Source organism: Homo sapiens, chromosome X (assembly GCF_000001405.40).
Source record: "Homo sapiens chromosome X, GRCh38.p14 Primary Assembly".
In the NCBI taxonomy this organism is placed as follows: Eukaryota; Metazoa; Chordata; class Mammalia; order Primates; family Hominidae; genus Homo; species Homo sapiens.
In genome coordinates this window covers 103,492,510-103,519,788 of record NC_000023.11, presented here as the reverse complement: position 1 = coordinate 103,519,788, position 27,279 = coordinate 103,492,510, and the positions used below count along the sequence as shown (strand labels likewise).

The 27,279-nt window shown below is 38.8% G+C and overlaps 1 protein-coding gene and 1 long non-coding RNA gene across 10 annotated transcripts in view; one reads left to right on the top strand and one right to left on the bottom strand.

The window, feature by feature from the left end:
* On the top strand, nucleotides 300–26,523 carry RAB40A (RAB40A, member RAS oncogene family). 3 transcript variants are annotated; one of them, NM_080879.3, is made up of 3 exons: nucleotides 300–419; nucleotides 2,264–2,415; nucleotides 18,963–20,659. In NM_080879.3, exon 3 carries the CDS (start codon nucleotides 19,033–19,035, stop codon nucleotides 19,864–19,866), a length of 834 nt encoding a protein of 277 aa, NP_543155.2. In that variant the 5' UTR covers nucleotides 300–419; nucleotides 2,264–2,415; nucleotides 18,963–19,032; the 3' UTR covers nucleotides 19,867–20,659. The 3 variants fall into 3 exon arrangements, with proteins under 3 accessions (NP_543155.2, XP_047297799.1, XP_047297800.1); XM_047441843.1 differs by lacking the exons at nucleotides 300–419; nucleotides 2,264–2,415 and adding an exon at nucleotides 16,907–17,030 and having other exon boundaries at nucleotides 18,960–26,523; XM_047441844.1 differs by lacking the exons at nucleotides 300–419; nucleotides 2,264–2,415 and adding an exon at nucleotides 16,907–17,030.
* The window catches only part of LL0XNC01-250H12.3 (uncharacterized), a 113,164-nt gene continuing 87,730 nt past the window's right edge, over nucleotides 1,846–27,279 (bottom strand). For 5 of the 7 annotated variants that reach the window (NR_188433.1, NR_188436.1, NR_188435.1 and 2 more), the window contains 2 exons: nucleotides 22,176–22,354; nucleotides 18,887–20,012 (listed from right to left, as the gene is read on the bottom strand). This is a non-coding gene — a long non-coding RNA (uncharacterized LL0XNC01-250H12.3). Of the gene's footprint in view, nucleotides 2,142–18,886; nucleotides 20,013–22,175; nucleotides 22,355–27,279 lie in introns of those variants that run through there. The other 2 variants (NR_188439.1, NR_188440.1) reach the window with 1 other exon arrangement.

Genomic DNA, 27,279 nt, shown 5'->3' with positions numbered 1-27,279 from the left:
GGAACATCCTGAAAACCAAGAACTCAAAATGCCTTTTTATCCCAAAGACATGTTTTACAAATATATACCCATTCATCCATTTGTTTTCACAAATGAAGCTACAGAGAACTTTGAATATAATGATGTGCAGCAGGGGCTTATTCCTAACATATTTAAAATTTAGGTCAACCAAACTTCTCTGTGGAAACTGAGTTGAAATCCGAAATCTTACAATCCTAATTTCGAGCCACATTCATTTTAACTTAATTTTAACATGTTTTGCAAAATGTTCCAATATAAACTTAATAGTTCCTATACCACCAAACATGGATCCTCATGATTTTATTTTCTAGATTGGCTGATAGGCTGAATAATCTCCTGTAGGGTAAGAAGTGTCAACTGTATCAAGCACATGGAGGTGGACTGGCTACAGGAGAAAGGTTTTCCAAATCAAATTCCAAGTATTTCTTTCTCTTTTTATATTACCATTAGGAGAAATAACTAATGTAGATGACGGGTTGATGGGTGCAGCAAACCACCATGGCACGTGTATACCTATGTAACAAACCTGTACATTCTCCACATGTATCCCAGAACTTAAAAGTATAATAAAAAAATTTAACAAAATGGTGTTAGATTCAGAGGCTTGATTCAATTTAGATTTGTTTTGGTCAGAAGTACTTCATATGTGGTATTGTTTATTCCTATAGTGTTACACAGGGGGCTCATTGTGTCTAATTGTCTCTCCTCTTGTGATGTTAAGATTAATTACTATGTTCAAGTATTGTTAAGCTGATCCATCCATTATAAAATTTCCCATCCCTTTTTCACCTCGATTTTTCTGCAGCGTCTAAGGATTGTTGCTTAGTTCTATATTCATTAAAGGTCATAAAAGGATGATATTCTAATTCTATAATTTTCTCTGCTTTATTAGCTGGAATTATTCTATTAAATAAACTTTCATAAACCATTAGGTTACACTGAGGGATAGTATGTATAGAAAGGGTTGGATGAGTGCCTAATTCTTTTGCAATATTTCCACTTTTCAAAACAATGAGTTGTTTCCCTAGGGTTCTCCAAAGGCAAGCAATGAGTTGATATTGTTTGTTTTATTTTATTTTTCTTTTAGAGTGTCATCATGAGCTGTAGAAGTTTTTATATTATAATGTGTTTTAATCCATAGTAGTCATTATTTTATTTAATGTTCAAATTGCTTCATCTTTGTCCAGCGAGAGCCCCTTAAGCTTGGCTTCTGAGTCTTTTTGACGCACTCTCTGGCATGATAGTTTGGTCCAGATTCATCTAGTAGAATGGCTACACAGACCTAAACTCAGTCATTTCTCTAAGATAACCTAGTTCCTTTCAGTGTGATGTGTTTTAAGTGGATTCAATATGGGCACTAGAGTTGCTCATTGCTACTGGGTCTATCATGTTTCTTCACCTTTCTAGTGCATGGAGCCAGTGTATATATATTATATTTTTAAGGGAAAAGACATTATTGGCTTCTGTCCTGGGCTGTTTTTCCTTCTCTTTATAGGTAATGATTTTTTAAATCAATTTTCATTAAAACTTTCCAATTTTAAAAATATAAGCAAATAGAATGTTTCTATTAGTTTTCTCCTATTCCATATATATAAGGTGACATATTCTACACTGGTGGAGTCCAATAGAATTTCTACAAAGGTGAAAATATTCTATGTCTCAACTGTCCAACATAGTAGCCACTAGCTACCTGTGACTATTAAACACCTAAAATGTGGTGAGTGTGACTGAGGAAGTGAATTTAAAATTCCATTTAAATTTAGTTAACTTAAATAGCCATGAGTGGCCAGTGGGTATGGTATGGGACAACAGCAGCTCTACACATTTTTCTGCACTTTGCTTTATTCACTTAATGGTATATCCTGGAAATCACTACATAGCAGCAGAGAGAGGGAATCTTCCTTGCTTGTTATACCGGCATTGAAATCTAGGATGTAGATGCACCTTAGATTATTCAGTCAGTCCTTTATTGGTGGACATCTGTCTTATTTCCAGTCTTCTGCTGTTACAATTTGTTCTGCCAAGAATGACCTTGTGCTTCTGCCTTTTTATCTTTTTGAATTGTATCTTTGGGATACATTCTCCGAAGATTGTTGGTTCCAAGATAAAATAATTGTGCCCTATGAAATAGAAGATTTGAAACAGAGAGCATTTAGAAATATAGTAGCAATAAATGAATGTTGGTTTTATCTTATCATTCCTTTGATTCCATGTACTCTCTGCTCTCTTATTTTCTTTCTAGTGTGACGTGGGTGAAGGAGTTCTTATTGAGCCATGGGAGGAAGAAATAGTACAGAAGAGCAAAGAATAATAATGAGTCAGCTAGACAGAAGACAGGAGTCATCAGATTTGTACCCTAGTTACTCGACCCATCAACTGACTGTGGTTTTTGGGGTGAGTCTCTTCCCTCTGTTGGCCTCTGGTCTAACACAGAAGGATACTCAGTATAGAAATAGTGGTTAGGGGAGGGGGCTTTTGGGTGAGAAGGACTTGGATTTGACCCTGATAACCATTACTTGCTGGTTGCATGATCTGTATCAACCAATTTATCTACCGTGTGCCCTGTAACTATTTATGTCTTTTATTATTATTCCTATCATGCATACAAAGACTGAATGATAAAAGTGGGGATTACTTTGCCAGGTATTAAAGTGTTCTTTGAGCGTATAATTTCATAAGTTTTGGACAGAGTGGTTGACATGCAGGTTAAAGAAGTCTAAAGAAAGCTCTTGAGTAGACCCTGGCATATAACGTCATTTAAGATGCTGCAAGTATGGCATTTCTACTCAAATGCATTGTTAAGGAATTGGGTCTGGGCCAGCTGTAAAGGGTTCATTAAAAAGCAAAGTTAGATTATATCTTATACCTTGTCATGTACTTAGAATGTTTCATCCACATGTTAGTACTTAAGACAAAAGCAAAACTGAAAATAACAACAAAAAACCCAGGATGCTATACTGTACATATAATTATAACAGCTTTATGAATTGTATTTGTAATGCATGTACAGTACATGTGCATATATCCATGTATAAAAAATCCTTAGAAAGATCTAGTACCATGTTAATTTTAATTATGATGGGATTGCTGGCTATTGATATTTTTAACCTCTGCATTTGGCTCAATATTAAACATTTGCTAAGGTGAGAGTATGGATTGTACATACTCCATACCCCATGCTTGACTTACTATGGGAGTTACATCCTGATAAACTCATTGTAAGTTGAAAATAATTGTAGGTCAAAAATGGGCATTTGTAGACAAGATGAGATGTGAAAATACAATATCAAAAAAATCCTGGCAACACTGTACACTATAGGGTCTCAGTAGTTTATCCTCGTGATTGCATGGCTGACTGGGAGCTGTGGCTCACTGCTGCTCCCTAACCAGCATCACAAGAGTATAATACTGCGTTTTGCTAGCCCAGGAAAATATCAAAATTTAAAACTTGAAGTACAGTTTCTACTGAATGTGTACCACTTTCACACTATCATAAAATTGAAAAATTATAAGTCAAAACATCAACAGTCAGGGAATGTCTGTATTTATGATAAAAACTATATCCCCTAAAACCTCTGCTACTTGTGAAATGTTTCAGATAAAAAACAGAGAGAACTATGAAATTAGTCCAGCTTAGGAAAACCTTTACTCCTCCCTAATTGTATCTCCTTCCGTCTCTGCTATAGATAATCAGCACCCAGAAAGCAATGATTATAATTCCCATATGTTGCTTTATCCTTTTATTCCATATGAGAGCTTCCCTAAATAAAACATAGTATTGTTTTGCATGTTTCACCACAAACACACATACACCTGATCCTTACACTCAAGAGAGCATTATGACATGTTCAAGGGGAGATCTTTGTCAAGATGCTGGCACGGTATTTGGTGTGTCATTCACAGTGCCAGTGTTTGCTTCCTTCCCATCTCACCTCTTCTGATCTTTAACAGGGATGTTGTTTCATAATCTGGATAGCATCACTATATTTTAGTGAGTATTTGGGAATGTAAGGGAACCACACACACTCATCTATATTATGTAGGAGGTTAGGTGCCATCTCTGTGCTATGCAATGTGATGAAGTTGGGATGAGGGATGAGTACTCACTCTTTTCTATTGTATGATGGTATGGTAGTGAGTTACACTTAGTGAACCTTACCTTGCTCATCAATAAAATTAGCATATTGCTATTTACCTCACAGGAGTGTTATGAGAAATGAGCAAAACTAAAGAAACCATCTGATACATAATACTTCAATAAATATATATTTGGTCTCCCCTCTGTTTTCCCTTCCTCAAAAGACTTAAACATGAACATCCCACAGAGATTATTTAAATTTGAAACATTGGGAAAGGAAACAAACATACTCATATGTTATAGAACCTTTGGTGACATTTCTTTGTGGATGAGATACCTGAGAATGGTGGAAGTTTGGGATCAAATAATCACTTCGTTACTTTTTATTTGATGTGTTCTTCTATTCCTTTTTACCTTCCATTTTGACACTGGAATAGAAACCTTTGTTTCAACCCCAGAAAGGAGGCAGTACAGAATAAAAGAGCATAAAGATGAGTATTCTGTACAACAGACTGAACAGGAGACCTGGGGACTGAATGCCAGACCTGTCCTTGTCTAGAAGACACTTTCCCTGAGCTGGACACAGCCCTTATTCAGAAAAAGATTGTATATCCCAATGGTTAGGGATGGTGACTTGAGAGTCAGAGTTTAGTTTGAACTTGGAATCATTTAATAACTCATTTCATGCTGTCTGGCAAATCTTGAATGTCTCAATATATTAGACTCACATGCAATGAATGTACATTATGATGCATACATACAGAGTATAATGGGGGTAATATACAAACATAATACTCTTTTTTTAAGTTAATGAGTAATAGGATTACTTGATTAATTATATATTTATTTCTGGACATAACTATATTTTTCACAACTTCTAAATTGATACAAATCATTTTTATAATCAGAACTAGTCATAGAAACATTTATTGTTCTGAAATATTTTAGACATAAAGAAACTTACAAAAAGAATATACTGTATATACTCATATTAAGAAATAAACCATTATATGTACAACTGAAATTCACTTAAAGTCTGGGCTGGGTGCAGTGGCTCACACCTGTAATCCTTGTACTCTGGGAGGTTGAGACGGGTGGATCACTTGAGACCAGGAGTTTGAGACCAGCCTGGGCAACATGGTGAAACCCCATCTGTACAAAAAAATACAAAAATTAGTTGAGCATAGTGGTACAGGACTGTAGCCCCAGTTACTTGGGAGGCTGAGGTGGGAGGATCACCTGAGCCAGGGAGGTCAAGGCTGTGCTGAGCCATAATTGTACCACTGCACTCCAGCCTCGGTGACAGAGTAAGACCCTGTCTTAACAACAAAAAAAAGAAATTCAAAGTTTCTTCAGCTTGCATTAGCCTCCTTCTTACAAAGGAGTAATCATTAACAAGCATTTAGACTTTTCACTATTTATCCTTTGTTACATATGTATATATTTCTGCATGAAATATGGTGTTATTTTGTTGCGTGTTTTATCTGTAGTTGTCTGGCTATCTGACGGAAAGGAGAAAGGAAGAAACATGAGAAGAACAAATACCCATTCATATCTCAACACTGTGACCTGCCATATATGCCTCTTTACATGTGTACTGTCTTTCAGAGCTACTAAACCAGACACACCACTTTTCCAGTTTACATGCTATAGAGAGCACTAACAGAATTGGTACATATCATTTTTCAGTCATTTAAAAAAAATGTGATGTGTTCAAAGTCTTAAGAGTTTCCCAGGTGACAGCCAGCCCAAAACAATGTTGCAATGTGTCTGTGTGTGTGTGTGTGTGTGTGTTTTCTTGAGACAGGAGCTCTTTAGCCTCCTTATGTTGCTCAGGCTGGAGTGCAGTGGCTATTAACAGGCACAATCACAGCACGCTACAGCCTAGAACTCCTGGGCTCAAGTGTTTCTCTCACTTCAGCCTCCCAAGTAGCTGGGATTTGCAGTGTATCTCGAATGTGAAATATCTTCCCATTGTCCAGGCATAATTTCCCAACTTTTATTCATGCTATTACACATCTATGTCTGTAAATCTGGAACTAATCTGGGCAGTCTTGGTGAAAAAAAGTCAGTGATTGCCAGGAGTTGGTTTTTATGTGTCCAATCTACTATCCAAATCCCTCGGTTAGTTTAGGTATGCATCCCATTTAGAACTTGATATGATTTGTTATTACATGTGATTGGCATGTGTATATTTTCTTTCGGTTTAATATTTTTAATTGTATAAGTGAGGTACTTCATACGTGTGTTGATTACTCCTGGGGCCCTGGGCCGAGTGAGACTGTGACTCTACTTTTACCCTGAATCCCGCTGTGTTAGGATTCTGTCCTCTGGAAGCTGTGGTGCTGAGCCCTAGTGGTTTCATGCAGTCCCTCCCCTTTCCCTCCCCTGTGGCAGTCACTGCTTGGCCAACTAGGTGGGTAAACAGAGGAGCCTGCTGTCAATTCAAAGGACTTTATTTGTGCTAGTGCAGAAAGAAGCATGTTGTGAAACCACTTTCATCTCATGACCTTCACTAAAATCTTGAAAAGTAGAAATGTCATCTGGCTGTTGAATGTGAGGTTCATCTGAGAGACGTGCTTGCCCTTCCCCCGGGTGTCTGTAATTTCCCTAAACCTGCCCACCTGGGGATGTCATGTATATAGATTCATACTTTAATTCTAGGACCACCCTAGTACCTAATTGTCTTGGCTTACACATGTTATCATTCCTAACGGTGAGCAACTTTCCTTGAAAAGGGCAGGGGTATTTTGTTTTTATTGTTTTTTTCACTTCCAAAACCAAGACACTTTTCTTCTAGATAAAAATGGAAAATGCCTGAAGGGAATAAAATCTTTAAAAAACCTTAAAATTTTATTATGCATGGATAAGCACTGTCAAGATTTGAATTTTTTTTCAGAAGTTATATTATGCAAATGTAATTATATATTTAAGAATAGAAATAAAATAGTATCCTACTTTTAGCTTTGTAAACTGCTTTTTTATGACAAATATATATTGTGAAGGTCAACTCATGCTAACAAATTAAAATCCACATTATAATAAAAAATGGCAGTAGAAACAGTACTAGTCAATCCGGGTATGAAATAATGATAGAAATGGTTAATATTTATTGTGATTTTTCTCAGTTCCTGCAACTGCTGTAATTCTAAATCTATACTTCATTTAATCCTCACCACCATCTATAAAGAGGAGCGGTTGTTTCCAACTTTAAACACAAGAGAACTGGGGTACAACAAGGGCAGGGCTAGCAAGTTGTGAGGCTGAGATTTGAACACAGGCTGTGTGGCTCCCCAGTAAATTTATCTAACCAGCATGTGCTACTCCTGCTCATTAGATCTCCAGCCTTACTGTTGATCAGGGCACAGAAAAAAAAAAAACAGCTAACCAAAACTAAGGCTTTGTATTAGTTTCCTATGGCTGCTGTACATAGTACCACAAACTTGTGGCTTAAAATAACAGAAATTTAGTCTCTCACAGTTCTGGATGCAACACTTTTGAAACACCCAAGAATGTCAATAACCTTCTGTCTACAAAACATCGAACTCAAGGAATATCAGTCTGAAATCCAGGTGTCAATTGGGCCTTGCTCCTTTTGAGTCTATGGGAAGAATCTTTCCTTTCCTGTTCCTAGTATCTGGTGATGGCCATAGATCCATGATGTTGCTTGCTTGCAGGGACATCACTCCAGTCTCTTCCTCTGTCACCACATATTGCTCTCCCTGTGTGTCTCTGTCTTTAGTGGCATTTTCATTATCTTATACGACCACAAGTCATATTGGATTAGAGCTCACCCTAATAGTCTCATCTTAACTTGATTACATCTGCAAAGACTCTATTTTCTTTTTATTATACTTTAAGTTCTAGGGTACGTGTACAGAACGTGCAGATTTGTTACATATACATGTACCATGGTGGTTTGCTGCACCCATCAACCCATCATCTACATTAGGTATTTCTCCTAATGCTATCCCTCCCCTAGCCCCCACCCCCTAACAGGCCCCGGTGTGTGATGTTCCCGTCCCTGTGTCCATGTGTTCTCATTGTTCAACTCCCACTTATGAGTGAGAACATGCAGTGTTTGGTTTTCTGTTTTTGTGTTAGTTTGCTGAGAATGATGGTTTCCAGCTTCATCCATGTCCCTGCAAAGGACATGAACTCATCCTTTTTTTTTTTTCTTTTTTTTTGAGACGGAGTCTCGCTCTGTCACCCAGGCTGGAGTGCAGTGGCATGATCTCGGCTCACTGCAAGCTCCGCCTCCTGGGTTCACGCCATTCTCCTGCCTCAGCCTCCCAAGTAGCTGGGACTACAGGCGCCCACCACCACACCTGCCTAATTTTTTTGTATTTTTTTTTAGTAGAGATGGTGTTTCACTGTGTTAGCCAAGATGGTCTCAATCTCCTGACCTCATGATCTGCCCGCCTCGGCCTCCCAAAGTGCTGGGATTACAGGCATGAGCCACCGTGCCCGGCCAAACTCATCCTTTTTTATGGCTGCATAGTATTCCATGGTGTATATGTCACGTTTTCTTTATCCAGACTATCATTGATGGGCATTCGGGTTGGTTCCAAGTCTTTGCTATTGTGAATAGTGCCACAATAAACATACGTGTGCATGTCAAAGACTCTATTTTTAAAATAAGGTCACATTCAAAGGTATCTGGGGTTAGTACATCAATGTATCTTTTGGGGGAACAAAATGCAACCAAATGATAATACCTTGATTTTTCCCAGTTAACTAGGCAAAAATTAAAATTGATAATTATCAGTGTGAGTGGGAATTTGGGGAAAATATGCCGTGTTATAATGTAGATGAGGTTCCCACAAAATCTTCTCTCCCTTTCTGAGTCTCAGGAACATTCCTCATTCTAAGTATCAGTGTCTTTTCTGTGCTTAGGGCTGAAAATGTTTAAGTTTCACCACCATTTTATTATTTTGTATAATTGCAAAAGCAGTAGCTATTTATTATAGTTAAAAATAGATAGCTTAGGAGAGGAAATAAATAACATCACTCCCAAACAGAACACTCAAAGACAAGTCCTGGTAATGAGTTTATCTGTATAAATTCTTTTAGAAGTTTCCTTATTCAGGTATTTATATATTTAAGCAGAACTGCATGCATTTATATATGTATTTGTGAAAGACAAAGTTTCATTCTACTCACTTTCATCCTATTTACTTTTGTAACAAGCTAACAAACAACATACATGAAAGGTTGTGAGTAAATATCAGGCTGCACCATAGGGATAGTAGAGATACTAATGGCCCATAAAGATAGAGAAAAAGAAATAAAAATGTCTAAAATATGTTATGATCTGAGTGATTTTTAGGTATTGAGTCATTTGGTGCTCGTAGTTCCCTCACAAAGTAGATCCTGTGGCTAATCTCCATTTCATAGATGAAAAACTGAGGGACAGAGAGAATAAGGACTTTGCCTGAGACCACACAGTTAGGGAGTGGGACAATTGGATTTATGTCCAGTACATCATGCTCCCGAGTCTGAGAAATTGTGAAATCTCTGTTGTTAGGTGAAAGATGCAACTGGACAAGCAAGGATATTTTAGGAGTTCATTAAAAGGAATATTTCGGTTGGGCACGGTGGCTCATGCCTATAATCCCAGCATTTTGGGAGGTTGAGGCGGGTGGATCACGAGGTCAGGAGTTTGAGACCAACCTGACCAACATGGTGAAACCCTGTCTCTACTAAAAATACAAAAATTAGCCAGGCGTGGTGGCACATGCCTGTAATCCCAGCTACTCAGGAGGCTGAGGCAGGAGAATCGCTTGAACCCGGGAGGTGGAAGTTGCAGTGAGCCGAGATTGCCCCACTATACTCCAGCCTGGGTGATAGAGCAAGACTCCGTCTTAAAAAAAAAAAAAGGAATATTTCATATGTTAATACATTTATACAAAAAAAACTGCTCATGATGAAAAAACTGGTCATAATGAAAAACAGGTGGAATGTGACCTTGGAGAGCATCTTCATCACAATTCTGGGGACAGAAACCATAGTGCAGTGGGATAAGGATCAGTGGGAAGTGAAGATTGTTAACAGAAAATGCAGAAAACTCTTTTTGGTTCTTGACTTTGAAGGAGAAAAGAGAGAGGAAGGGAAGGAGGGAGGGAGAGGAAGAGGGGGATGGACAGGGAGAGGGAGAGGGGAGGAGAGGGGAGGGAGGGAGAGGGGAGGAGAGGGGAGGGAAGGAAAGGGGAGAGGAGAAAGAATGGAGGGGTTAGGGGAGAGGGAGAGGGGAGGAGAGGGGAGGGAAGGAAAGGGGAGGAGAGGGGAGGGAAGGAAAGGGGAGAGGAGAAAGAATGGAGGGGTTAGGGGAGAGGGGAGGGGAAAGAAGAGACAGAGAGACAGAGAGACAGAGAGAGAGAGAGAGAGAGAGAGAGAGAGATCCTGTGGCTGATTGGGTGATGAGGGATCCAAAGAGATTTTTAAAAACTTCAATTCCTTGAAATTTGAGCAAGTTTAAAAGTTGACGTGAAGAAGTCGTCTCATCTCAGATTTAACCTGTGAAGTTGCCCATATATTCATTTCCCTTCTTGCTCTCTTATTTCCACTTTAGAGTTAATGAGATACCTCCAATGAACTATGTTTTTCGAGCTCAATACATATTTAGTTATTACCTAATAACAGAGTGGACAATCGTGTGTTACAGAAATGCCAGTAATTCCTGGATTTTTGTCTCTCAGGAAGGCAGCAAGTTGCTGAAATTTTGATGTGATGTAGCTGAATTATGCATGAACTGAGGACCCTGCACAGGTGACTGCAGGATATGTCCAGAATATTCATATCTATATCTATATATCTACACACACACACTAAACAGTGCTGGAGCACTCATTAGACAATCACTGCCCCTTGTGTCCCGGATGCGATCTGGCATGGAGCTCACCAGGTGAGTTCACAAACATGCCTGTCTTACCACCATGGGGAAGTGGATTTGGGTCTGCTTACAGGCATGATATTGAACAGTATTTATGAATTATGAAACACTAAAGAATGTAGAGAACATTCTGTTTCTAAAACTTTGAACTGAAGGCATATGAGAGAGATTTGCTTCTTTTATCTGGATGTCTGTGTTCTCGTCTGGAGAAACAATGAGAAATGATTTTTCATAATGACTACCTAAGCCCTGAGGCTCAGCCAGCCCCTACTGCTGTGTTCCAACATTTAAAGGACCATTGAAGTCCCACTTCATGTCATATTCTCTGGGAAAGTTTTCTCATTAACCCCTCATACAGCTCAGTAAGAATGGTATGGTCAGTCCCATTTCACAGATGACCAACCTCAGGCTTTCAGAGCCTAAGTCACCTCCCCAGGTAAGTGGCAGGATTGGAATGAGGTCCCATCCTTCACCCTCCCTAGGAGACCCTGAGCACCTCCCCTTTAGAAGATGGGCTTCCAGGGCTTGAGAAATGGTCAGATTCCACTCCCCTGCTATTGTGGCCCCACAGGTCCTTACTCTACAACCCCTCTGGGTGATGAGGAAGACAGAGGAGGTGAAATCCTGTGCTTTGTGCCAAGAGACCTGGGTGTAGACCTAGTGTGTAAAAACCCCACTAAGGGCTGTATTAAAACAAAGAAGAAAACATTTGTAAACTACATCTCAGATATTGGGTTAGTATCCCTGATTTGTGAAACATACTTGGTAACAAAGCAATTGGCAATGATTTTAACAGAAAATTCAAATAAGTATATACATGAACAATAAACATTAAAAAATACAAAAACCTGCAGACCTGAGTGTGTACTATTCTAGGGATGACAGACTCCTTGGGGTCAAGGGGTGGGAGCTGGGCCAGTGAGAGGTGCAGTTTAAATTTGATTTGTGGTGAGTGGACTGAGGCAGAAGCTCAGGTGTTGGCCTTGGGACAGGTGAACTGGAGAGAAGGCAAGTAACATGCCCTGAACTACTGTAAGCAAATGCACTCTATATTTCATCTGCTTTTACCCTAACAACCATTTAACCCATCATTCTGATAATTATTCAAATCAGGAAACTAAGTTTAAGGACAGTTTATGTAATTTAGAGAGAAAACTTTTTAATCTCCTGATCAGCAGTTAACTTTGGAATTACTTAAGGGTTTTTTTTCAGTTGTTATTTTCATTTTGTCTTGATGCCTCCATAACTCTGAGTGCTCTAATCTCCTTCAACGCTGGCAGTATCTACTCCGCAGGTGTTTTTTAATGTTTTTTCCTTTTAAATATGACCTGTATAATGTTTAGGTCCCATTAATAAAATTTAAAACACTTTCCAAAGGAAAAAAAACCACTAAAGACTGTATTAAAACAAGGGAGAAAACATATGTAAACTACATCTCAGATACTGGGTTAGTAGCTGTGATTTGTGAAACATACTTGGTAACAAAACAATTGGCAATGATTTGAACAGAAAATTTAAATAAGTAAATACATGAACAATAAACATTAAAAAATACAAAAACCTGCAGCCATAAAAAGGAATGAGATTATGTCCTTTCCAGGGACATGGATGAAGCTGGAAGCCATCATCCTCAGCAAACTAACACAGGAACAGAAAACCAAACACCACATGTTCTCACTCATAAGTGGGAGCTGAACACTGAGAACACATGGACAGAGAGAGGAACATCACACACCGGGGCTTGTTGGGGGGTGGGGGGTGAGGGGAGGGAACTTAGAGGATGGGTCAATAGGTGCAGCAAACCACCGTGGCACACGTATACCTATGTAACAAACCTGCACGTTCTGCACATGTATCCCATTTTTTTAGAAGAAATAAAATTAAAAAAAATTACAAAAACCACAAGAACTAACAAGATGCAAATATTTTTAAATCCTGAGAATTTATAATGACAAGATGCAAAAAATGAGGACTATGATTGTACTTTTGGAGAAGACTGTGTGTGAAGGTGAATGTGTTGATGTGCACCTCACCTACAGGGGCACATCTGGAGAGTGTGCACTATTCTAGGGACAACAGACCCCTTGGGGTCAAGGGATGGGAGTTGGGCCAGTGAGAGGTGCAGTTTAAATTTGATTTGTGAATATACTCTTGTATAGTTTTTGAAGTTTCATATTTGAGAATAAAAGTATTTTAGTGAATATTTGAACACACAAGATACTTTAAGTAAGGAGTTTAGGGTTTTTAAAAATTTAACTGGCAAGTAAAGAATTGGCAATGATCTATTCATTTGTCGTAAAATATGTTGGATTATGTTTTAAATAGATCTGTTTGGATTTAAATTTTATTCCCCAAGGACTTAAATCATATATTTTTTTAAAAGCATGTCAGTTTTTTAAAACCTTTGTGAAAAAAGACAAAGTTTAAACATTATATTACAAACTAAGATTAAAATATAAAGCTATTATAATTAATAATGGACACTGGAAACTCAGAAGGGGGAGGTGGGAGTAAGGGAGGGAAGGGAGTAAGGGATGAAAAATCACCTACTGGGTACAATGTAAACTATTTGGGTGAAGGGTACACTGAAAGTCCAGACTTCACCACTATAAAATTGATCCTTATAACTAAAACCACTTGTACTCCTGAAGCTATTAAAAATTTTTTTAATTGAGATCTAAAGAAACAAGCTATTGTAATTAAGAGAATGTAGAATTGGTGTAAGGATAGAAACAACAGGCCAATGGACTTTATTAATAGAGTCAAGAAATAGACCCAATCCATATGTGGTCATTTTCACTTATGACACAGGTGACAGTGCAGTGAAGGGAGAAGGATGATATTTTAAGTATGCTACCTAAATTAGATACGTACAAGAATTGATTTCAGGTAGATTGTCAGTCTAAATGCAAAAGTAAAAGAATAACCTATAACAATGGAGGAAAATATTTTTATGTAGTTGGGGTGGCAAATAATCACTAGACAAAAAACTGTTAATCCCAAAGGAAAAAATAATAATAAATTGAGCTACATTATAATTAAAGATTGTCTTTCAAAACATACTCTTAAGAAAGAAAATATTGAAATACAGAGTGAAAGATTTTATATATACAGTGATTCAATTTTTTGGAAACAAGGAGAAAAGTAGAAAATGAGCAAAAGAAGTAAACAGGCATTTTACAATATAAGAATCCCATACGACAGCTGCACGTATAAAAAGGCGCTTAACGTTTTTAGTTTTTAGGACAATGCAAATTAAAATTGTCATGAGATACTACAGTAACCCCATGGACTAAAAAAAAGAGTAAGGGGCAAATAGAACCATTATATACTATTACTGAAAGTAAATTGGTGAGAACAGTTTGGGAAATCATTTGGCAATATCTGCTAAAGCTAACTATATGCATACCTATGAGCCAGCAATTCCAATCTTTGATATACTCAACAGAATCGTGTACATATACCCACTAAAGACAGGCACAAAACTGTATGTAGTAGTACTATAACATTAGTCAAACTGTGGGCATAACCCAAATATCATCCAACAGATAACTTGTAGTATTCATAAAATGAAATACTCTACCACAATTAGAATGCTCATTTTAATGTTGCCATATGCAAAATCATGGATATATCTCACAAGGATAATATTAAGCAAAACAAAGCAGAAACAAAAAAGTATAATTTCAGGTAAATAAAATATGAAAAGTTCGTAAACAGGCAAATCTCTAGTGTTAGAAGTTAATGTAGTTTACTTTTGGAGGTATAATGACTTGTAAGGGCATAAAGGAAGCTCCTGAAGTGAAGATAATGTTCTATTTCTTTCCCTTTTTTACTAGTAAATTCTGCTTTTATTATTAAAAGTTCTTGTAAACATAAGTGTCTCTTCAATGATATAAAAATTTCCCCTTCTTTAAGATTAAATATAAAACATTAATTAAAATATTCAAGGCAATGAAGTTAAATTCTAATGCCTAGCTGGGTGTGGTGGCTCACGCCTGGAATCCCAGCACTTTGGGAGGCTGAGGCGGGTGGATCTCATGAGGCCAGGAGTTCAAGACCAGCCTGGCCAACATGGTGAAACCCCATCTCTACTAAAAATATAATAATTAGTCGGGTGTGGTGGCGCATGCCTATAATCCCAGGTACTCAGTACGCTGAGGCACGAGAATCGCTTGAACCTGGGAGGCGGAGGTTGCAGTGAGCTGAGATTGTACCACTGCACTCCAGCCTGGGCGTCAGAGCAAGACTGTCCAAAAAATAAAATAAAATAAAATAAAAATATATATATATTCTGATGCCTTTCTGTAGTCAATGAAATGGACCTGAAAGAAAGAGGCATAGTGAATTTTAAAAAATGATGTACCCAAACTTTGAAAAAATGTTGCTGTCTTCCAAAAAATAAGTTAGCTGAGATGTTTCTTCATTATAGGAGGCAGAATGTTCTTCTCTTTTAAGTTTCAGCTTTTATTTTAGATCCAGGGGGTACATGTGCAGGTTTGTTACATGGGTATATTGTGTGATGCTAAGGTTTGGGATATGAATGATCCCATCACCCAGGTAGTGAGCATAGTACCCAATAGTTTTTCAACCCTTGCCCCACCTCTCCCCACTCCTCCAGTAGGCCCCAGGGTTTGTTGTTGCTATCTTTACGTCCATGAGTCCCCAATGTTTAGTTTCCACTTATAAGTGAAAACATGTGGTATTTGGTTTTTTGTTCCTGTGTTAATTTACTTAGGATAATAGCCTCCAGATGCATCTATGTTGCTGCAAGGGACATTATATTGTTCTTTTTTATGGCTGTGACAAAATACTTTTGAACAGATTGTCAAAAGTACTGTGCACATGTTTATTAATTTGAGAAAGCATTCATTATATTCTATTTTATGGTGAAAACAGGAAATAATTTGACAGGGTATTTGCATGTGTGTGTGTGTCTAGGTCTAGCTGTATCACTCCAAATACACACTCACAGATGCAGCTTTACCTTTAATGCAGACAGGGGCTGGAGCCAATCTCAGTTTCACATATACCAGAACATGACTAATACACAGAGATTGCTATCGTTAGGTGAATAATTCCAGAAAACTCTGGCTAATATCTTTGTAGTTCACCTCCAACATCCCTCTCCCTTTCCCTGAGCCCCTTGTCTGAGACTCTCAAAGCTGTGATCCGGGTTCTGGCCATCAGGAGGCATCACAGCTATCTCCATTTTTTTTTTTTTTAAAGGAGGACATTTTGCAAAGAGTGACAAACTACGATGCCAGTTCTGTTTGAAAAATATACGTATATTAAAGCTGGTCCATTGGCTGTGGACTCCAAATCTACATGGCATTCACTGATTTATCTCTTCCCTCCTCAGTATACGTTGTCCCGTGCATGCTGTGGAGAGGTCCCTCACAGACAGCAGGGCATTTAGCCTCCATTGCCCGTGCATAAGCTTCCCAGACCTCCTCCCATTCCCTTTCAGTCCTCCCTTCTCTAGGATCCTATGGACACAGTTGCCCAGACCCTGCTCCTGTGACCTCTATCCTCTCTGTCACCTTTCTACAGCCCTGTCAGTGCTACCTGGTGTTTCATGCCCTGGCGCATATGTTTTTACAGTCTTGTTTTACATCTATCAATCAATTTTTTTCTTTCTAGCTTGGGAAGTGAATTTGGGTCTGCTCAGAGGCATGATGTTCAACAGCTTTTATTAGATTATGAGACATCCAAGAATGTAGAGAACATTCTGTCTCTAAAACTTTGAACTCAAGGCATATCAGAGAGAGATTTGCTTTCTTTATATGGATGTCTGTGTTCTCATTAGTAGAAACAATGAAAAATGACTTTTCACAATGCCTTCTTAGCCCAGAGGCTCAGCCAGCCCCCACTTCTGTGTCTCAGCATTTAAAGGGCCATTGAAGTCCCACTTCATGCCGTATACTCTCAACAGGTTTTCTCATTTGCTCCTTGGGACAGCTCGGTAAGGATGATACAGTCAGTTCTATCTCACAGATAATCAAGCTCAGGCTTTCAGAGCCTAAGTCACCTTCCCAGGTAAGTGGCAGGATTGGAATGAGGTTTCATCCCTCACCCTCCCTAAAGGACCCTGAGCACCCCCTTTTAGAAGATGGGCTTCCAGGGCTTGAGAAATGTCAGATTCCACTCCCCTGCTATTGTGGCCCCATGGGTCCCCCACTCCACAACCCCTCTGGGTGATGAGGAAGACAGAAGTGAAATCCTGCACTTTATGCCAAGAGACTGGGTGTGGGACCGTATGAGTTGGCTGATCCCTTAAGTGGTGAGTGGGCTCAGGCAGAAGCTTAGGTGTTGGCCTTGGGACAGGTGAGCTGAAGAGAAGGAAAGTAACCTGCACTGAACTACTTTAGGCAAATGCACTCTATATTTCATCTCCTTTATCCTAACGGCTGTTCAAGGTACCGATGATTATGATCATTATTCCAATCAGGGTGCTGTCTTTAAGGGAGTTTGTGTAAATCAGGGAGAGAACTTTATTATCTCCTTATTGTCAGCTAAATCTGGAATTAATCTAAAGGTTTTTTTTTTCTCTATTTGCCCTGAAGCCCACAGAGAAATAGAAATGTTTTTCTTATCCTTTATTCACGTTTGTTCTGTATTGATGAGTATTTAGAATGTTTCTCATTTTTTCCTTTTTAAAAAGATTTCAGCAATGCTATTTCAAATAACCACTTACCTGGCTATTTTGGACATGTGAAAATTTTTTCCTCCATTACATTTGTAAACATCTATCCCTTGGGGCTTGATTTCAATAATTTAAACTCCCTTATATGTGTATGAGCATTCTCATTTCTTTAACCATCTTTGTACCTGTTGTAGTTACAATATTTAAGTGTATTTATAACTGATAAGTGTGTTTCCATTTCCTTGATGTATTTGGTCCCTCATCCTGCCCCCATACACAGACACACACAGAGCCTTTTTCTTTTGCATCTTTTTCTTTTGCAAATTAAAAAAAAATTCTTTTTCGGTTTTTTTCTACATTTAAATTTTGTCAGATGATAGGTGATAAAAGGATATTTAGATGGTTTCATTAGCATTCTTTAATGTATTAGTGAGCTAGAATGCATTTTCTTGTGATTACTGGCCATTTGCGTTTCTTCACCTGTGAACCATATACATATTTTTTCAGTTTTGTTATTTTGTTATAGGAGCTGTACATGTGTTAAACCTAAAACCCTTCACTGATGGATGCATGCATTATTTCAACACATCTTTGTTGGGTGAATATTATTTATGAGACACTCTAGCAAAATCCATGTCCTAGATATCTCTTCTGAGATCTTGGCTCTTATATTTATGGGAGATGTCCCCCTGCAGCAAGAAAAGTATTAGTGCCCATGTAAACATGCGTGGCTTGTCAAGGATCACATGCACAGACAGTTCACACTTACTCCTAAACCCGGCATGGCCACAGAGTAGAAAGGGTGTGTAGTGCGTTATATGAGGAGAGCACTGGCTCAGGATTGTGATTTCTGTGATCTCTATATTAATGGCAATGTTTTAAAAAATTACATAACATTTCTGAGTTTGCCTTTTCTCATTTGTAAAATGGAAACAATTATAGCTACCAAAGACAACTGTTCTGAAAGCAAAAGAACAAAATATTTTAAGCGTCATACACAGCATAGGGTACGTACAGTACTCAACACATCTTAGTCCCTTTCCTATCCCATACCCGTCCTTCCTTTAAAGGAGATTCCTTTGACATAATCCAAAAGGCATGGTTCCATAACGATCACATGAAAGTTTTAAGGGAAATGTATAGGTTTCCATGATGAATTAACTGCTGTGTCACTACTCTGTGCTGGGTAAGAAAAAGGAAAACAATCGCTGAATCAGTTTCCTAGGGTTTGTAAAAGAAATCCATCAAAGCCACCACCTCATTTCGCTTTATTTCACAGACTTCCCCATCTCATTTTTTATGTTCTATGCTAATTTCTCAAGAAGAACAGGCCCGGCACCACCTCTGCGCACAACCCCGCGGGCCTGGCTCAGGCGGGAGTGCGGGGCCAGCACCATGAGCGCCCCGGGCAGCCCCGACCAGGCCTATGACTTCCTGCTCAAGTTCCTGCTGGTGGGCGACAGGGACGTAGGCAAGAGTGAGATCCTGGAGAGCCTGCAGGATGGTGCAGCTGAGTCCCCGTACAGCCATCTCGGGGGGATCGACTACAAGACGACCACCATCCTGCTGGACGGCCAGCGGGTGAAGCTGAAGCTCTGGGATACGTCGGGGCAGGGAAGATTTTGTACCATATTCCGCTCCTACTCTCGTGGTGCACAAGGAGTGATCCTGGTCTACGACATTGCAAACCGCTGGTCTTTCGAGGGTATGGATCGATGGATTAAGAAGATTGAGGAACATGCCCCTGGTGTCCCTAAAATCCTGGTGGGGAATCGCCTACATCTGGCATTCAAGAGGCAGGTGCCCAGGGAGCAGGCCCAGGCCTACGCCGAGCGCCTGGGTGTGACCTTCTTTGAGGTCAGCCCTCTGTGCAATTTCAACATCATAGAGTCTTTCACGGAGCTGGCCAGGATAGTGCTGCTGCGGCACAGGATGAATTGGCTCGGGAGGCCGAGCAAGGTACTGAGCTTGCAAGACCTCTGCTGCCGCACCATCGTGTCCTGCACACCTGTGCATCTGGTGGACAAGCTCCCGCTCCCCAGTACCTTAAGAAGCCACCTCAAGTCCTTCTCCATGGCTAAGGGCCTGAATGCCAGGATGATGCGAGGCCTCTCCTACTCCCTCACCACCAGCTCCACTCACAAGAGCAGCCTCTGCAAAGTGGAGATCGTCTGCCCACCCCAGAGCCCACCCAAAAACTGCACCAGAAACAGCTGCAAAATTTCTTAAGGAAGGCACCAAAAGGAAACAAGCTGGAATCGCTCCAGGAAAAACTCTGGTTACACCTGGAAGATGGAAGTCGCATTGTAGATTCAAGAAATTAGTTTTCAGTTTCTCACGGGAACCATGCTGCTTGGGAATGTGTGTGATGCCTTCTGTCAATAAAAACACATTACACAGTTTGACTTTGAATTTCTATTTGGATGTGCATGAAGCTCTTGTTTTAAACGTGTGTTTATAAAGGGGAAATTAGTACTTTGCTCAACTCTTGATAACGTGAAATTTTGAATGTTACTTATATCATAATCACGCTGCAACTTTTTCCTTAAAATAACCGCCTTTGTTAGAATGGTGATATGGCAATGATGAGTATAAATTCAAGGAAATTTGAGAAGCAATGATAGTGAGATAATTCAGTCATCGATAGTACAAGAGGGGCCTTTTTGTAAACCTCCTTTTTAATGTCAAAGCACCAATTTATAAAACACTGCAGATGCATATAGAGATTGTATATAACAGATCTGTCCAGCTTGTGCATGAAATGGATTTGATAAAGTTTTTGCTATGTTATTTACTACATTTGGGGATTAATACGTGATTTATATGTATGTTTTTCTGTAAATCTACTTTTTTTGTACGAGATGTTCTACAAGATATGAAGCTAAGGGAGGAAAACACCAAAGATATCTCTAGTTATGTTGAACATAGCCAATATGGTTTCAATGGATCAATAAGAAAAAACCATTTCAGTAAGGAATGAAATACGTACTTATTTGAGAAAATGTTTCTTAACAGTAAAAAAGTATATATTTTTCTCTTTGGTAAAACGAAAAGAGAGGAAAAATATGTATAGTGTAACCCCGCAAGATGAGGCTTTGCAGAAAAACAATGCAATAGAACATGGCGGGGCAGGCCCATTATAAGGCCTTAGGTGAGTCATTTCCCCTGTGCTGGCCAGTTTTGGTTAACACCTCTCAGATCAATATAGAGGTTAATGAGATCACATCTGGGAAAGCACTTCTGAGACCTTAGATGGGAAAGAAGGAGAAGTGGTTTCCACGTAGTTACTTTCCAATTTACACTGTTGATTATTATAATAATTGATATTGGATGAACTGAGTAAATATAAGTCCTTGTACTCTTTTGTAATTGAATGACCATTTATTTGTGCATTGTCATAGGGTGATTGTAACAAAGTCCCGCAGAAGGGCAGTATCTCTGGCCTCACGGAGCTGTGGGGACTCACCCTTCCTGAACGCTGGTACTTTTCTATCTCATGAATTTCCCACAACATTCCTGGGAGGTAGAGGATATAATCTCTACACCATCCTGTAGCTTAAGAAACAGGGATGTTTGCAGGTTAAGCAACCTGGCTGGGGAGCATCCTGCCACTAAGTGGAAAAGCAGAGACTAGCATCCTATATGCCCCCAGGCAGACTGTGATGCTGAGCTGCACATCACAACATAACCAAGCAAATCTTGCTTTCCTGCTGACCTGGGTCACTACTGAAATCTGTATCTTCAGCTCTGAAGCCAGGCTGCCAGTTCTGTCTCTCTTATGAAAGACAGAGAACCTTGTCAGACCTAAATTTCCTACTCTGTAGACAAGGGAGTGTGTCTGGGCCATTGCTTTAGAAACGAGTCCGCAGACAGTTCCTGTATCAGGAAGAATATGCACTCTCAGAGGGACAGGGGCCATGCTGAGGGTGAATACTTGAAGGAGCAGGCCCCAAACACATGCAGATCGGGGATGCATAGAGTCTTTAATAGAAATTACCAAATCAACCTTGAAAGAGGTTGTACTAAATGACATCCCCACCACCAATATGAAACAGGGTAGGCTTCCCCGCATGCCCACCTTACTGGAATCCTGAATGGTTTCTTTTTATACTTTGATGATATGACAGGTGGAAATTCTTTCATTGTCATTATATTTAATTTGATGTTCAGATAACTTAAAAAATTCCCTAGTATACAAAATGCTCTGATAATCATCATTGCATTATATTTTTATTGCAAACTGGTCCATTTTCATATGTAGCCTAAAAACAATGAGCAACAGGCACATTAGCCTGCAAGTTCTCCTAGAGCTACTGGTGGCATTATGGTTCCAGGGTGTGTTTGTGGCCTCTGGGGAATACTGATGGCAGTGTGTTTGTCTAGAAGATTAAGAACATCTCTCTGTGATATTAGTTGAATTCAATATTAGAGAAGAGCTGGAGTCTTTTTAAGTGACACAAGAGCTGGACCACAACATGCTTCTGAGCAGGCTGTAATCCTGTCCCTGTGATGGACAGCAAGCCTTTCTGTGACCTCACCTGCTCAGGTCAGGGTGGATCCCTCCAGAACGTAAGGTATGGCAATTGGCCTAAATCTGCTTCTGAACACTGAAGCTGAGTGCTCCCATCTTCCTGCCGTCAGTTGCAGAGACTGGAGAAGCTGCATCTTCTCAGACACCAAAACCACGGGTTCAGTCACCTGTGTGAGGAGCTCAGTGCTGGAAGATAAAATACCAGCACCTGTTTGACACATCGTGCATCCATCCATCCATCTGTCCATCCATCCATCCATCCATCCATCCATCTATCCATCCCCATAGTTAACAGGCATTAAAGTCAAATGACACCATCCCTCTGGTTAAGTTTTAGACTTCCCCAGAATAGAAACAAGGAAGTAAGGGGGTTGTGGTAAACTCAGTTTCTAGACCTAAGAAGAGATGGCTCCTTCTCCTTAATATTTCCACCCTGAGAGAGCCTCTTATCATTGATAATTTTAAAACATAATTTAAAACCCTAGACCTCTCTCTACAACCCTAGTTACTGTTCTCTTTACATATATTCTCCCATTGCAACCAAAGTTCTATGAAGAATTCTCAATACTCAACTCACATCCCTTTGCACCTCCCTCCACCTCAGTCCTCATTCCTCATCTAATGGTGCTTTGTTCCCGCACCCCTCTGTTGAAATGAACCCCATCAAAACCAACAGCCACCCCTTTGTCCCATTTATAGATCAAGAGTGTTAAAATGAACATCTATATGGAGACAAAGCTTCCCCCGCAATGACAAAATTCAGTTGCTTTTGTATAGACAAAGATTATATTGCAATGCTATATTTACCTAAAAGCTAGCATTGTAAAATAGCTTCCATAAGAGTCAGTCAGATAACGTGAAGGCTGTGCTACAGGAACTGTGCTATCAGTTGAAGTACAACATTTCCCCAACATATCCCATACTATTGCTTCAATAAAAGGAATTTTGCAAATAGATTTACTGCATGTTAGCAATATTTTTATGATCACTTCAATAAATTCTGTTTATTGTTTTATTTCTTTCTGAAGGAATTACTAAGTATGCAATGTAATCGCCTGAAATTAAAATGTTGTTTCAAAATTTGTCGTGGTTAAATATATTGCCTAAAAGCATTGTCTGATTGTTTAATATGCCATAATTTGGTAATATAATGGTGGTGAAATATAATAGTAGATAGAGGGAACTCTTGCAGTCTCCTGATTAGGTCAGAATTCTTCTACTGCACCACACAAATCATAATTCTGGAATTCCTTTTGGAATGTTTCCATTTGGTAAACTATCACAACTATATGATAAGTGTACATGATTCCATACTGATATAAATTAAGTGTTTCCATTGACAAAGAAATGGGTCAGAGAAGACAAATTGTCTCAATCAAATAATTCTAAACAATATATGTGGCTAACCCTCAGTTCATGAGGTGAAGTTTAATTCTGTCCTCTACCTCCTAAGAACAGGGCTGACTTAGTGACTTACTTCTACAGAAAAGAGTATAGGAATGTAAAATAGTTACCACACACTGGAGAAATTTGGCAAACAGTACCTTAACCAAGTGATGAAGGTTAACATCACCATTGATATCATATGGGTAGCATGTAAACCCATATATGGTGTGATAAAAAGGGCAATTCATCTCTGCGGTATTCCTTCTGAAAACCCATAACCTCAGTCTAATAATGAGAAAAACAAGTTATGCCTGTACTTCTCATGAAATCAAGCTTATGAAAATAGTCTGGCCATACCTCAAATGGTTAACAGGGAGTTACCATATGACACAGCAATTCCACCCCTAGGTACATAGCCAAAAGAAATATGCCTACATAAAAACTTGTACCTGAATGTATACAGGATCATCATTCAAAATAGCCAAAGAGTGGAAACAACCCAAATGCTCATCAATTGATACATGGATAAAATGTGGTATATTCAGCAATAAATATGGATGAGGAACTGATATATGCTGCAACACAGATTTTGAAAACATTATGTAAAGTGAAAGAAGCCAGATGCAAAAGACCAAATATTGTTTGATTTCACTTATATAAAATGTCAAAAACAAGCAAATCCACAGAGAAACAAAGCATATCTGTGATTGCCTAGGGCTGGGGGTGGGCACAGGGATTAACTGCATTCAAGCAGGATGGGTAATCTTAGGGTGATGAAAATGTCTAAAACTCAACGATGAAGTCCCAGCTACAGCAATCAGACAAGAGAAAGAAATAAAGGGCATCCAAACTGGAAAAGAAGAAGTCAAATTATCCTTGTTTGCAGATGACATGATCTTATATTTGGAAAAACCTAGACTCCATCAAAAAACGATTAGAACTCATAAACAAATTCAGTATAGTTGCAAGATACAAAATCAACATACAAAAATCAGTAGTGTTTCTATATGCCAGCCAAGAGTGAACAATCTAAAAAATAAATTTAAAAGTAATCCCATTTACAATAGCCATAAATAAAATTAAATACACAGGAATTAACCAAAGAAGTGAAAGGCCTCTATAATGAAAGCTATAAAACACTGATGACAGAAATTGAAGATGACGCCAAAAAATGGAAAAGTATTTCATGTTCATTGATTGGAAGAATCAATATTGTTAAAATGTCCATTCTACTCAAAGCAATCTACAGATTTAATACAATCCCTATCAAAATACCAATGACATTCTCCACAGAAACAGAACAATCCTAAAATTCATATAGAATCACAAAAGACCCAGAATTCCCAAAGCTATCTTGAGCAAAAAGAACAAAACTGGAGGAATCACAATACCTCACTTCAAATTATACTACAGAGCTATATCACCAAAACAGCATGGTACTGGCATAAAAACAGACACATAGACCAGTGGAACAGAATAAAGAACCCAGAAACAAATCCACACACCTACAGTGAACCCATTTTCAACAAAGAACCTATACTGAGGAAAAGACAGTCTCTTCAATAAGTGGTGCTGGGAAATCTGGAAATCCATACGCAGAAGAATGAAAATAGACCCTCTATTTCTTGCCATATACAAAAATTAAATCAATATCAGTTAAAGGCTTAAATCTAAGACTTCAAACTATGAAACTACAAGACTTTGGGGAAACTCTCCAGGACATTGGTCTGGGCAAAGATTTCTAGAGTAATACCCCAACACAGGCAACCAAAGCAAAAACGGACAAATGGAATCACATCAAGTTAAAAAGCTTTTGCACAGCAAAGGAAACAATCAACAAAGTGAAGAGACAACCCACAGAATGGGAGAAAATATTTGCAGACTACCCATTTGACAAGGGATTAATAACCAGAATATATAATGAGCTCAAACAACTCTATAGCAAAAATAACTAAACTGATTAAAAGGTGGGCAAAAGATTTGAATAGACATTTCTCTAAAGAAGACATACAAATGGCAGACAGGCATATGAAAAGGTGCTCAACTTCATTGATCATCAGAGAAATGCCAATCCAAACTACAACAAGATATCATCTCACCCCAGTTAAAATGGCTTATATCCAAAAGACAGGCAATAACAAATGCTGGCAAGGATGTGGAGAAAAGGGAAACCTTGTACACTGTTGGTAGGAATGTAAGTTAGTAAAACCACTATGTAGAACATTTTGAAGGTTCCTCAAAAAAACTAAAAATTGAACTTCCATATGACCCGCAATCCCACTGCTGGGTATATACCCAAAAGAAAGGAAATCAGTATATTAAAGAGACATCTGCACTCCCATGTTTGTTGCAGCACTGTTCACTATAGCTAACATTTGGAAGCAACTTAAGTGTCCATCAAGAGATGAATGGATAAAGAAAATGTGGTACACATACACAACGGAGTACTAGTCAGCCATCAAGAAGAATGTGATTCAGTCATTTGCAAAAACATGGATGGAACTGGAAGTCATTATGTTAAGTAAAATAAGCCAGGCACAGAAAGACAAACATTGCATGTTCTCACTTATTTGTGGGAGATAAAAATGAACGCAATTGAACTCATGGAGGTAGAGACTAGAAGGATGGTTACTAGAGGCTGGGAAGGATGGTGGCAGGCTGGAGGGGAGGTGCATATGGTTAATGAGTATAAAAAAATTAGAAAGAATGAATAAGACCTAGTACTTGGTAGCACAACAGGGGGACAATAGTCAATAATAATTTAAGTGTGCATTTCAAAATAACTAAAAGAGTATAATTGAATTGTTTGTAACACAAAGGATAAATGCTTGAGGGGATGGATACCTAATTTTTAATGATGTGATTATTACACATTCCCTACCTGTACCAAAATCTCATGTATCCCCAAAAATATATATGCCTATTATGTACCCACAAAAATTAAAAATAAAAGATTTTAAAACCCTCAATTATGAAGATCATTGCACAACTCTATACATTTACTAAAAATCACAAAATTCTATCTTCAAAAGCATGCATTTTATTGTCCATAAATTATACTACAAGAAAGCCGTTTAAAAATATGATATTGCCCTGGTCTTCTGTTGTACCACAGTAGTGACCAAACTTTTTCATACAAAGGCTGTGATGTACATCTTTTATATAAATGTGAATGCATGTAAAACGGTAGCTGTATCCCAGCCCTGCTGACTCTTTGTCATATGTTCCTCCAAGGATTTTCCCCTCCTAACACTATCCCACATGTTACTTCGGGTTTTACTCGGGTGTAAAGTTTGATTTTCATCTGATCACTTCCACATGTTCCAACTGTGGCAATGGCTTGAGAGTAGGTCTACAACAAAGTATAGGGCATTTACTGTCTAACAGGATGTCATTACTATTACTTTCTTCACTCCCCTGTGTGTTTTCTTGCATGACTTCACTTAGGGAGTCTAAATAGCACTACCTTGATGAGTGTCAGTGTGGCAATATTTATCAAAAACCTACATATGGACACACTGTTTGCACAAACAATTTCCCTTGAACAAGTTTATCTTCAGAATGTAAGGAAGGATGTGGATAAGGATATGGTAAAAAGAACTGCTATTCTGATAATTCCCTTCCTTTACTTCTGGGCCTTGTGAAGCCTGAAAGAACCAGTCCTTCAAGATAAATCCTGGGTGTTTAACTGGGCCTAAATTCAAATTAGAGCCAAGTGGCCATTT